Below are 12,088 nucleotides of genomic sequence, written 5' to 3'. Positions count from 1 at the left end.
AAACAAGATTCATTCAAGAGATCATATTCTACCAGGTCTTTGATCTGTAAGCCTTGGCCAGTTTTAAATCCTTTTAGAGTTTCCATTCCCCCATGCCTGTAAAGGTCTATAGTATACAGTATTTGTCTTTCTCACAGGGATGTTAAGTATTAAGGGAAAATCTGTTACCTGATAACTCTTTTGCCTTCTTGTGTGGTATACACTCACCTATGACCACAAGCATAGCAATGCAAACCATTTTATGTTGGCTTCAACCACCTTTGTGTGGACAACATCTGCCCTCAGTCATATGCAACGCCACTTTTACTGTACCTGGGTTTCTTCCAGGTCACAACTAGGAAAACAGAAGGTGCCCACTGTGATTCTTTCCTTGCATAATTATAAGGTTCCTGAAAATTACACATCTTGGATATTGTTCAGCCAATGGGAGAAAGAAGCGGATGGATAAATGTTTTTCCATGTTGATCTGATCCTGTGGGGGACAATTCCAAGAGTCATTCTACATGCTCCTAAAAGGTCCTTACAAGATTTAGCCAAGTTGCTCTCCATAAAATAAACTCGAAAATGCACCCTTTCTTTAGATTTTCCTCTTTGATTCTTTCATCTTCCATAGTGTCTCATACTTGCTTCCTGGGATCTTGTGCCACATAAACTGTTTGCACCCAAATCTTTGACATTAGCCTTGTTCTGGGGAGAAGAGGAGGATCCAGAGTAAGACTAATGGATATAAATGCTTGTTCAGCATGGCTCAGGTGTGTTGCTGTCAGCTTGATTAAGGTTGAGCCTTGAAGAAGCATCGGTAGGTTACCGAAGCCTCCTGGACCCAATAATTCCCACTTAAGATCATTGGTGAATGATCCTGACTCTCCTTACCAGTGGGAGGCAGGAAACCTGGCACTTAAGTCTACTAACAAAGAGCAAAGCGTCTGTCCTAGCAGTGCTTAAGCTTCACTTTTCTCTTGGTTGAAAATCCACATTCAGATACTAGACTTTAAGTAACCTTTAGTGCAAGCATACAGTTTACCTTATAAATTACATCCTAGTCTTGTTGTCTGCATTTCTAGTTTATGCATCAAATTTTCTGCTTTCCTATATCAGTAGAAATGCATGTCCTTCATTCTTAGACAATTCTCACTGCTGTTGAGACAAGTCTGCAGATGCAAACTATGTTCTTCCAGAAATGATTACTCTTAATAGACAACATACCTAATTTCAAGAGAAATGTTCTCAGATCTGTCAGATTATATGGGCCCCAAATCCAGTTACACAGTCATATTGATTTTTACTTAAATCTCCCAAATTCTTGAATGCAAAAATGTAAGCAAAATAATAATAATAAAATAATAACAATGTGAACAATATATTTGGGTACCAGATTACATACATTTATTAGATTAAAATTTCCATTTTCAACAGTTTTTGGATGAAAATCAGATAGCATATATTCGATCAATGGTAAAGATATTAGAAGTTAATATTAGGTTACTCATTAATTTCGCAGTCTGCCAGAAGTTGGTCATGCAAGAAGCTGGTGGTGGAAGAATAAAAAGATATTGGGATCTGGCAAGAATGAAAATAATGGCTGCATTCAGTAGAGACTTTGATCCCAATACTCAAAAGGATCTAGAAATTTAGCAGGTGAATTGATAGAAGCGAGATCCACAGATTGGTCTGTAACAAGAAGACTGCCAGGCTCCAGAAGCCAAGTAGTTTGGGTAGCAGAATCTGGATCCGTAACTCAGGGAAGGAAAACCACAGCCTCCATATTTCAGGAATCTGAAGCCACTGGATCCATTTCCCAGCGAGTAGCAGCACCTAGATCCATAGCCCTGGGAGCGACAGCTGCTGGACCGAAAGCCTAGAGATCCAGAGCAAGTCGTCTGACAGGGACAGCAGAGGATGGAGGTCCTGGGGCGGTAGCAGGATTTCTGGCAGCTGGCGGGCTCCCAGCAGGTCTTCTGACAGTCCCTGTAGAGAGAGGAACGCAGCTGGCAGGTGCTGGGAGAGCAGAGGGCAGTGCTGTAGACCAGGCTGCTGGGGTAGGAGCCTGGGTAGTACAGGTAGCCCCCAAAGGAGCGGGAGGAGAAGTTTCTAGAGCAGCAGTTGTAGGACATGCTGATGAGAGATGGGAGTTCAGCTGAGTGTACCTAAGAAGATTCTGAGTTTTAATGTCGCATCCTGGACAAGGGCATTTATATCCTCTCAGCAATAGGTGTGGTGCCCAACAGGGTCATCCTTTACATATTTGTGATCCCTCATTTACATATGTGTAACTGCGTAATCTTGTCTGTAATTGCATTTGAATAGTTTTCCATGTATTGTATTTATGGGTGCTATAATTTTCGTGTTATAGCACAAAGCCAATGAACTGTACTTATGTCAGAAATGCTATGACTGTTTTATATTAATGTCTAGCTCATCATGACAAGGAAAGCTCTTCCTATTTCTTTGGCACATGCTAACTGCCTCTTTTCCTGTGTATTCACATCTGGCTTTGCTAGTAGATGTTTTCCTCTTAAGAGTGGGGAATGAGATAACGTTAGTTTCTTTCTGGTGCAATTTCCACCTGGATGAGAACCTTTGTGAAAATGATCCATCTTGTCACCATTGATTGCTATACTCCAAAATTACTTTGTGGTGATTTTTTAGGGCGGTAAGAGTAAATTAATACATTAAGTACTACAGTTATAAAGTCTGTCTCATATCCAGTGAAGAAAGATCAAGAACAGGCAAAGCAAAGAGATAGAAAGAAATGGCTAGAAATTGAAAGAAACCTTGCCATTTATTTAAAGACGAGATAACAAAAAGAAGCTCGATTGAAACACAGTCACAGAGAAGATCAATTTGAGGTCATGTCTCTTCAGCCAAAGAGCCCGAATGCTTGTCTGCTGAAGGGAGGAAACAAGTGAAAGAGAAACAAAGAGAAAGCTCAGGAATTTCAGAATTTTTTTTCCTATTGCATTCCAGCTGTCATGTGTCTTGTCTCAATGTCTTTATGAGCAAAAATTTTCAAAATTAGCAAATCTTATGAACTTTGATATATTTATCATCTACTTTTGTAATTATACAGGACTTCTACCTTCTTAGAATGGCTCTAGCTTTCCATATTACTGGCTTTCAGTGTCTTTTTGCCACTTGTAGAACCAGGTACCATCCTACATTTTCCTGTGAAAATGTGAAGTTTCTTTGTTCCCCAGTCCTCTTTTCCTCTGCATGGTATATGAATGTTTCTCTCTTATTTTCTCTCTCTCTTCCTCTGACTTTCTTTCCCTCTATTTTTCTTTCTTTTTTCTGTGCTTAAGTTTGATTTTATCTTTTTTCTTTTTTTTACTTGTTATATTTTATGTTTTGTTCATGTGTTTGTTTGCCTCTGCTGAATTATAGATTCCATGTTGAAAAATAAAAATTGGACAGCTTTGTCGTATTCTTTGAGGATAGCCACTTTGTAAGTTCATTCACAAAATATTCTATGTTGAAATACAAGTAGTTAAATTATATTCAGGACCAAAGAAAGTGTACTGTCATGGTTGATGACATTTTATTTTATAATAAAATATAATAAACTTACAACAATAATGTTAGACATTTTCTCGATTAAATTTTCTCAATTAAAATGTATGGCAATATTGAAAAGTAACTTAATATAGGCCTTCCAGAAGGAAGAATGAAGAAAGAAGCAAATATGGCCAATTCAAATATCTATTCAGTGAGTTACTTTCTATTTTTCAATGGCAGTTGATTTCCCCTAACCTTGTACCTTAGTAAGTAGGTTTGGAAACTATTCCTTCCCCATTTTCTTTTGTTTCAAATGTAACTCTTTAAAATAATCTTGAATACAAAACTTATGAGTTAAATGGAGAGCATGAATTTATTCAGGCAAAACTAAGGGATTTAGTGAATTTGTCTTCAGTTAATCCAGGCTCCTTATTCAAAAATCCTTCTCTGAACCAGTTATTGTGAAAAGAGGTGTTCTTCCCTTCTCTCTGCCTCTAAATCTCTAAAACTTTGTCCACATTAATTTGATAGAAGTTTAAGAAGAACTTGTAAATGCCACAACTTTGGACTCACTTCATCTTGGAGATCATATTATTTGTTCTGTTTAATATGGAGCCTCATCATTGTTGTTTCTTTTTTTGACTGAATTATTTATCAACAATTAAAAATTGAGATCTTTCACATAAAATATATGGCTCAGGGATATACATCAAAAGGCTTCTGATCTTTTGACAGATGATTCTCTTCACTGGGCTATGAATAATGGCTTTGGATATTTGAGATATGTTTTCAACAGAATCTCATCCATAGTTGAAAATTACAACGTTTGGCACCTACCTGCTTCTCTTTTCAAAATAACCAGGCAACTTGTCACTAACATGCTGGAAAATCTTGCTTTCACTAACCATCCAGGTTACAACCTCAATAAGCAAAAGCCAATACTTCTATATAAAGATTGAAAATAGAAAAAAGAGTATAAGCCATATGTAATGTAGTTAAAAAGTGTACCTTGCTTATAATTGGAATCTAAGCAAAAGAAAGATGAGAGGATGGGGCAGAAGCAATATTTGAAGAGAGTACAGTTGGGAATTTACCAATCTTGATAAAAGACATCAACTCACACGTGAAATAATAGGAGAATGGTGTAGATCTAGTCTAACTAAGGTGGAGATGGCTGAAAAAATGAGTTTTAGCAGATATTACCTGGAGACAGTCTGAACATAAGCTCCAAAACTAAACTCAAAAGTTTGTTTATTGTTTCTCTAAATCATTGAACAACTGAAATAATTTTTTTTTTGTTTACCCTGATTGGCATACTCAAGATAAAATGTTCAGTTTAAATTTTTTGCTATCCTTCAAAAAATTGGTTTACTTTTTGTATTAGTCTATTCTCACACTGCTATAAACTACTACCTGTGACTGGGTAATTTATAAAGAGAAGAGGTTTAATTGACTCACAGTTCTGCAGGCTGTACACGAAGCACGGCTGGGGAGGCTTCAGGGAACTTACAATCATGGCAGAAAATGAAGGAGAAGCAGGCAGTCCTACAAGGGAAGCAGTAGAAAGAGTGAAGGGGGAAGTGCTACACATTTTTAAACAACCAGATCTCATGAGAGCTAACTCACTAGCACGAGAACAGCAAGGGGGAAATCCACCCCCATGATCCAATCATCTCCCACCAGGCCTTCCCCAACACTGGGGATTACAATTTGGCCTGAGATTTGGGCAGGGACACAAATCCAAACAGTATCACTTTTTAAAAAGTATAAACAAGATTAAATATTTACAGATTTTCTGCATTTTTTCTCTTTCCAGAGTCTCCCCTGAGAGAGGCTGGGAGAGTTGTAAGATTTGGACATAGGTCTGGCCCAAGTGAAGGAGAAAGAGAAAGAAGTGCTTGAGACCTATGCAGGAGACAGTAGTTCTTTAAGGCCGTTGAGGAAACCCTGAGTCAAAGCTGGCCGTCAATTGTCTTCCAGGAATTCCTATATCCCACTGTGCTCAGTCTTTGCTTGGGAGCAGCCCAGAGAAAGCAAGCCTTCCCCAAAAATGCAGTGTTAACTTTTAGAACACAGCAGGTAGGACCACTGGTTATTTAAGCCTCCTGTAATTTAAGATCCGAGATGAGAATTCTCCAGGCTGCCACACATATGAATGAGAATCTCTTAGGACCATGGGCCTCATATTAGATGCATTGAATCTAAAATTCATTTATTTTTTTCTGTCATTTCAATGGTGTGTGTTTATTTAACACTTTAATTCTCTTCATAAGGCCCCAGAATTGTTTTTCATTTGTGATTGTCTCAGTTCCATCCCTTGCTGTCACCATGTCTCCAAATAATTGTCCAGGTTTCCTTCTGGTCATAGGCATCAATGTTATTCAATTTGTCTTGGCTCATACTTTTCCCTCTACACTGGATGTGAGACACAGTGAGTAACAGTACATAATAGATGAAGGAAACTTTTGTGGAATGAGAAAGGATGGTGACATGTAGGTTTAGTTTTCAGCAGGTTTCTCATTAAGGCCAAAGTTGTGTCTCTAATCCATTGACAAAAAAGACATGTAACTTTATCTCATTTCTCACTGTTTAGGGAAAATTATTGCCCATAACAGCCAATAACAAGACACATGAAAATTATGCTAGGAGGAAAAGGAGGTGCTTTCCTAGACATAATAAAATAAATATTAATACGAAACAGTCATAGCATTTCTGGCATAAGTGCAGTTCATTGGCTTTGTGCTATAACACCAAAATTATAGCACGCATAAATACAACATGTGGAAAAGTATTCAAATGCAATTACAGGCAAGATTGCTGAGCTACACATATGTAAATGAGGGAGCACAAAAATGTGAGGGATGACTCTGCTGTGCACCACACCTATTGCTGAGAGGATATAAATGACACTGTCCAGGATGCCACGTTAAAACTCAGAATCTTCCCAGGTACACTCAGCTGAACTCACATCTTCCCGTCAACATGTCCTACAACTGTTGCTCTAGAAACTTCTCCTCCTGCTCCCACGGGGGTTACTTGCACTACCCAGGCTCCTCCTGTGGCTCTTCCTACCCCAGCAACCTGGTCTACAGCACTGACCTCTGCTCTCCCAGCACCTGCCAGCTGGGTTCCTCTCTCTATAGGGGCTGTCAGGAGACCTGCTGGAGGCCCAACAGCTGTCAGACATTGTGTGTTGAGTCCAGCCCCTGCCACACCTCCTGCTACTACCCCAGGACTCACATGCTCTGCAATTCTTGCCTGACTATGCATGTTGGGTCTCGGGGTTTTGGATCCAATAGCTGCTGCTCCCTGAGCTGTGGATCCAGGAGCTGCTCCTCACTGGGCTGTGGATCCAATGGCTTCAGATATCTGAATTATAGAATCCATACCTCCCCTTCCCAGAGTTATAGATCCAGATTCTGCCATCCAATCTATTTTCCACCTAGAAGGTGGTTCCATTCATCTTGTTATCAGCCATTCTGTAGATCTGGTTTCTACTGACTAATGTGGTGACTGGTAAAACTCATTTGAGAAATGCATATTCTTTAGTAAGGTCATCTGTTAATTTCTTCCTTTGAGAAGTATTCTAATATTATTGATCACCAGGTCTTCCTTACTTTCCAGCCCTCAAAAACTGGGTTGTATGTTAGTTCTGTCAAACTGCAGTTTGGATCAATGAATAATCTATAACTGGATCAATCTGGATCTATAACTCTGGGAAGGGAAGGCATGGATTTTATAATTCAGATATCTGAAGCCATTGGATCAATGAGTGATCCAAACTGCATTATAGATATAATTTATAGTTTTTGTATTTCTTTCCAAAAGAGATAGGAAGTGAAAAAGATTTTATTTTAATAAACTCTTTATTCTTCTGTCCAAATGTGCTGTTAATATTGCTATTTATTAGTAAAGCATTGTCTAGGATGTGCATTGTCATTGCTTCTGGTAATGGGCTTTGCAATGCCCAGATTGTGGGATCTCCACACTAATTTTGGTTGGGCTTTAGATATTTTCCTCCTCTTTAAGCAGGAGTTTCTGGGATTCTCACAGTTTCCAAGGATAGCCTTTCTCTTAAGTATCCTCGTCAGGATAGTTAAGATAGCCTTTGCTATCATTTTTGATGATAACCTTTCATCAGAATCATCAAAAATGATTGTTTGGGTTGTATCTTGAAATAAAATTGGATAGGCTGTATTTATACTGTTCTGTTCTCTCACATCAAAGCGTTATAAAAAGTAAGTTACTGATAGTATTAAGAGCATTGACTATCCTTGTTCATTCCTTGAATATGCCATGCATCTCTAAGGACAGAATGTAACAGAAAAGTTTGAAGAGTACATGAACAAAATTCATACTTATATGATTAGGCCTGTTCATGAAGTATATTAAAATGGAAGACTAACACATGGATGTAAATGTTTAGAAAAGAGCACCTATGAGCTTCAGGTATCATAGTGCAGGAGTATCACTTATTTTTAATTAGCTAAATCCCTGAACCCCAATTACTGTTTTCAATCTGCTCAAATGATCTCCATTTGTTTAAAAAGGCAGGCAACAAACTTTGATGGGAAGGAAGTAGGCTCAGCAGGTGTTAGTTGTACCTGGGTTCTTTGCCAAAATATAAACTGAATCTAATTGAAAACTCTGAAGCCTTTACTATCATCAAAAATGATTGTTTTTTGTCGTATCTTGAAATAAAATTGGATAGACTGTACTTATGCTGTTCTGCTCTCTTACATCCAAGTGTTATAAAAAGTAAGGTACTAAGACAATACGATGGTAATGGCAGACATAATATTTATATAAAACAAGCAATGTTCAAGTATTTTCCTATTCTTTATTTTATAAGATCTTCTAACATTCTCTGAAATTAGAAATATAATGCAGATTATTAGACACTTCACAAAAAACTTAGTCTTATAAGTACATAACAGTCATCTCATCATGTTCTCTTCCTCTTTTACTGCGAATGTGATAAAATATGAAATATAAAGAGAGCTGTAGAGTTCATCGACTTCAATATTCTTATTCTACAGAGGTGGAAATGGAAACAGTAGCGTTAGATAGAATTTTAAAATGTTACTCAGCAAGCTATTGTAGAGCTGTGAGTAGAACTACTTTATTCCACCCAATTTATTTTATTGGATCTATCCAGCTGTGACATTTTCTCTTATCTCCTCACTTCCGTCATTTGCTCCCTATTTTCCTCTTCTTCTTCTTCTCCCTCCTCCTTCTCCTCCATCATGTTTAGGAAATAGTCATGGTGCTTATATAGTTAGAGGAAAGAAATAAGGAATAATGAAAGAAAATGCATAGGAAAAATTATCAGTGATTGAGTTACAAAAATTAAAATGACAAACTGTGAAATCCTCTATAAACTTGGTCCTTTTTATAACTTCATGGATTTTTTGAATTTTAGTGATTCTAGTTAGTCCCATGCTCATAATATTTACTCAAGAGTAATGATCAAGCCTTATATCCCCAAAACATAGGCAATGGTAAGGGTTTAATGAGGAGCACCTATAGCTTATTGGCCAGGCTGAGGTTTCCTCTGTTACTGTCTCCAAATTGCAGATGCAGGAATGGTTTTCTGGCTTTCAGGAATACACTTTAATCTTGGTTTCCTATTACTGCCATAGCAAATTAGATTAAACTTAGAGTTTTAAGCAATACAAATTTATTATCTTTTAATTCTGTAGGTCAAAATCTGATGAATTGATGACCTCACTGGGCTAAATCAAAGTATTAGCAGGGCTGAGTTTCTTTCCAGAGGCTCTAAGGGAGAATCTATTTCCTTGCTTTTTACAGATTCTAGAGAAGGTGTCCCCAACCTCCGGGCCATGAACTGGTACTGGTCCATGGCATGTTAGGAACCAGGCAGCCCAGCAGGAGGTGAGTGGCAGTTGAGCAATTGTTACTGCCTGAGCTCCACCTCCTGTCAGATCAGCAGTAGCATTAGATTCTCATCAGAGCACAAACCCTGTTGTGAACTGCACATGCGAGAGATCTTGGTTGCGCATTCCTTATGAGAATCTAATGCCTGATGATCTGTCTTCCATCATCTGAAGATGGGACCATCTATTTGCAGAAAAACGAGCCCAGGTCTCCCACCAGTTCTACATTCTGGTGAGTTGTATTGTTATTTCATGATATATTACAATGTAATAATAATAGAAATAAAGTGCACAATAAATGGAATGTGCTTGAATCATCCCCAAACCATCCCTCCCCACCTGCTCCAATCTGTGGAAAAACTCTTTCAGGAAACCTGACCCTGGTACCAAAAAGTTTGGAGATGGATGTTCTAGAGGCCACCTACATTTTTTGGTTCATGGTCCCATTCCTCTGTCTCCAAAGACAGCAGTGGTGAGTCCAATCATTTTCATAGTGGATCGCTTAGACCTACTTTTCTGCCTTTACCTCCCACTTCATACTTACAATTACATTGGGTTCGGCTGGGTAATCCAAGATACTCACCCTGTTTTAGCAAGCTTAATTTCATCTGTAACTTTAATTCTTCTTTGCCATGTGAAGGAACATATTTACAAATTCCAGAATTTAGAATTTGAACATCTTTTAGGAGCCATTATTCTGCCTACCAAAACTAGTAAACATGCAAATTTAGAAAATAACTCAAAGATAGATTGATCACAGATAGATAGCAGTATAATAGAGTGCTCACAAACAAATGATCAAAACTCAATGATGGGGACTCTGAACTTATACCACAATTGCCCCGGTTATTATATAAAGGTACCATTTCTAGCTGATAGTCAAAACAAGAAAGTTTTATTATTTTATCACGAGAGACTTGTAACTCCTGAGTTTATATCATGTCATTACCAGTTAGGAAACATCCACCCTCTCCCATTCCAAATCTCTAGCAACACTCTAAATTTCCCAGAATGCAGCTTTTATTCTCTATTTCAGCAACTGCATATAGCATAGTGAATTACAGTCTTCTGATTGTCACCAAGTTGATCCCATTCTACATGATTAACAGGAAATCGGCTGGCACTTATTTGGACTACATCTAGTTGCCTCCATTCTTCCAGCTCCCTCCTGCTGCATACTTTGACAGATGCTTGCGCTATGCATTTTGAACCCAGGAGTTTAGTTCCCAAGCAACTACTGCCCATGCAATTATAATCTTAGAAGCTACTGGTCATCTGCCTACCAACTGGTTTGCAGTTCTGATTTCCAAGACTTAATGTAACCAGTTTTCCAGGAAATTCTCTCACAAATCATTTCTAGGCATTTGATTTCAACAATTTCTATTCATTAATGCATACCTCATGAGTGGCTACAGAGAGCAGCTTTGTCCTCCTCAACACCCTGACCCCATGTTTGTTTGACTGTTTTTTATTAGTCATGTCTCAGAATACATCGTCAAATGTTTTGTCAGTACCACCCTTTTTCACAATATATTTATTCAGCCTTTACCATGAACCAGAATCTTTGCTGTGGAAATATATTGCTGAATATATTTTTAAAAATAAGATTATATTCATTCATTACTCCATAATAAATGAATTAAGAAAACGCGTGGTCTCTGTTCTAGCTGGGCTGAAAGTCTAACAGATGAAGTAAATATTAAACAATTGTTTAATTACAAAAATAATGAGCTGGTTTTTTGCTAAAATAATATACATCAAGGGAACTTTACTTAGTCTTAGAAGTCAGGAAATGTTTCTCAGAGGACTAACATTTAAAAGAGATTGAAACAATAAGTATGGAATCAGTAAGTGGTACCAGAAGTGTTTCTAGGACAAAAGTTTTGAGATGTGGGCCGGGCGCGGTGGCTCACGCCTGTAATCCCAGCACTTTGGGAGGCCGAGGCGGGCGGATCACGAGGTCAGGAGATCGAGACCATCCTGGCTAACACGGTGAAACCCCGTCTCTACTAAAAATACAAAAAAATTAGCCGGGCGTGGTGGCGGGCGCCTGTAGTCCCAGCTACTCGGGAGGCTGAGGCAGGAGAATGGCGTGAACCCGGGAGGCGGAGCTTGCAGTGAGCCGAGATCGCGCCACTGCACTCCAGCCTGGGCGACAGAGCGAGACTCCGTCTCAAAAAAAAAAAAAAAAAAAAGTTTTGAGATGTGTATGGCATGACTAAAAGCCATTTTGGCTGGTCATTAAGAGAAAAGGAAAGAAGAGTTTGAAATTAGGCCACAGAGGTATTTTGGAGCCATTCTAGGCAGGTCCTTAGAGTTGTAATTTGGTGTTGCAGACATTCTTCTAAAACCAACAAGAAGCCATTAAATATTTTTAAGCAGAGGTATATCTATAAGAATACCTCTGTTTTTAAATAATATTTTTTATTCAATCAATATTTACATACCATGAAATGCACATATTTCAAAGGGTAGAGCTTGTTGTCTTTGATGAATATACACACCTGTGTAATGACTACCTGATCAAAATACAGAAAATTTCTTCACTCCAGAAAATTCACTCATGTTCCTTTCTTAAATCAATTCCTGACCCCAGACACAGCTACTGTAGTGATTGCTATCACCATACATTAACTTGCTTCTTCTAGAACTTCATAAAAATGAAATCATACATTTTTTTTATCATATGCATCTTT

General features: G+C 38.2%; 2 protein-coding genes and 1 long non-coding RNA gene across 3 annotated transcripts in view; 2 read left to right on the top strand and 1 right to left on the bottom strand.

Annotated features, from left to right (window-relative positions):
• Positions 1-12,088, top strand: part of LOC105372772 (uncharacterized) — an 82,493-nt gene that overhangs the window by 43,319 nt on the left and 27,086 nt on the right. The gene's annotated exons all lie outside the window — the stretch shown is intronic.
• Positions 1,364-2,170, bottom strand: KRTAP13-4 (keratin associated protein 13-4). The gene has a single exon (NM_181600.3). It carries the CDS (start codon positions 2,112-2,114, stop codon positions 1,632-1,634), a length of 483 nt encoding a protein of 160 aa, NP_853631.1. The 5' UTR covers positions 2,115-2,170; the 3' UTR covers positions 1,364-1,631.
• KRTAP13-3 (keratin associated protein 13-3) lies at positions 6,464-7,010 on the top strand. Its single transcript, NM_181622.2, has one exon. The coding sequence runs from the start codon at positions 6,478-6,480 to the stop codon at positions 6,994-6,996; it is 519 nt and encodes a 172-aa protein (NP_853653.1). The 5' UTR covers positions 6,464-6,477; the 3' UTR covers positions 6,997-7,010.

This window comes from Homo sapiens, chromosome 21 (genome assembly GCF_000001405.40).
Source record: "Homo sapiens chromosome 21, GRCh38.p14 Primary Assembly".
Classification (NCBI taxonomy): domain Eukaryota; kingdom Metazoa; phylum Chordata; class Mammalia; order Primates; family Hominidae; genus Homo; species Homo sapiens.
The sequence above is the reverse complement of the archived record's forward strand: the minus strand, read 5'-3'. Positions and strand labels throughout refer to the sequence as shown.

Excerpts from the sequence above, each read along its gene's own strand:
- KRTAP13-4 (NM_181600.3), bottom strand. The coding sequence starts at position 2,114 with ATGTCCTACAACTGCTGCTCTAGAAACTTCTCCTCCCGCTCCTTTGGG.
- KRTAP13-3 (NM_181622.2), top strand. The coding sequence starts at position 6,478 with ATGTCCTACAACTGTTGCTCTAGAAACTTCTCCTCCTGCTCCCACGGG.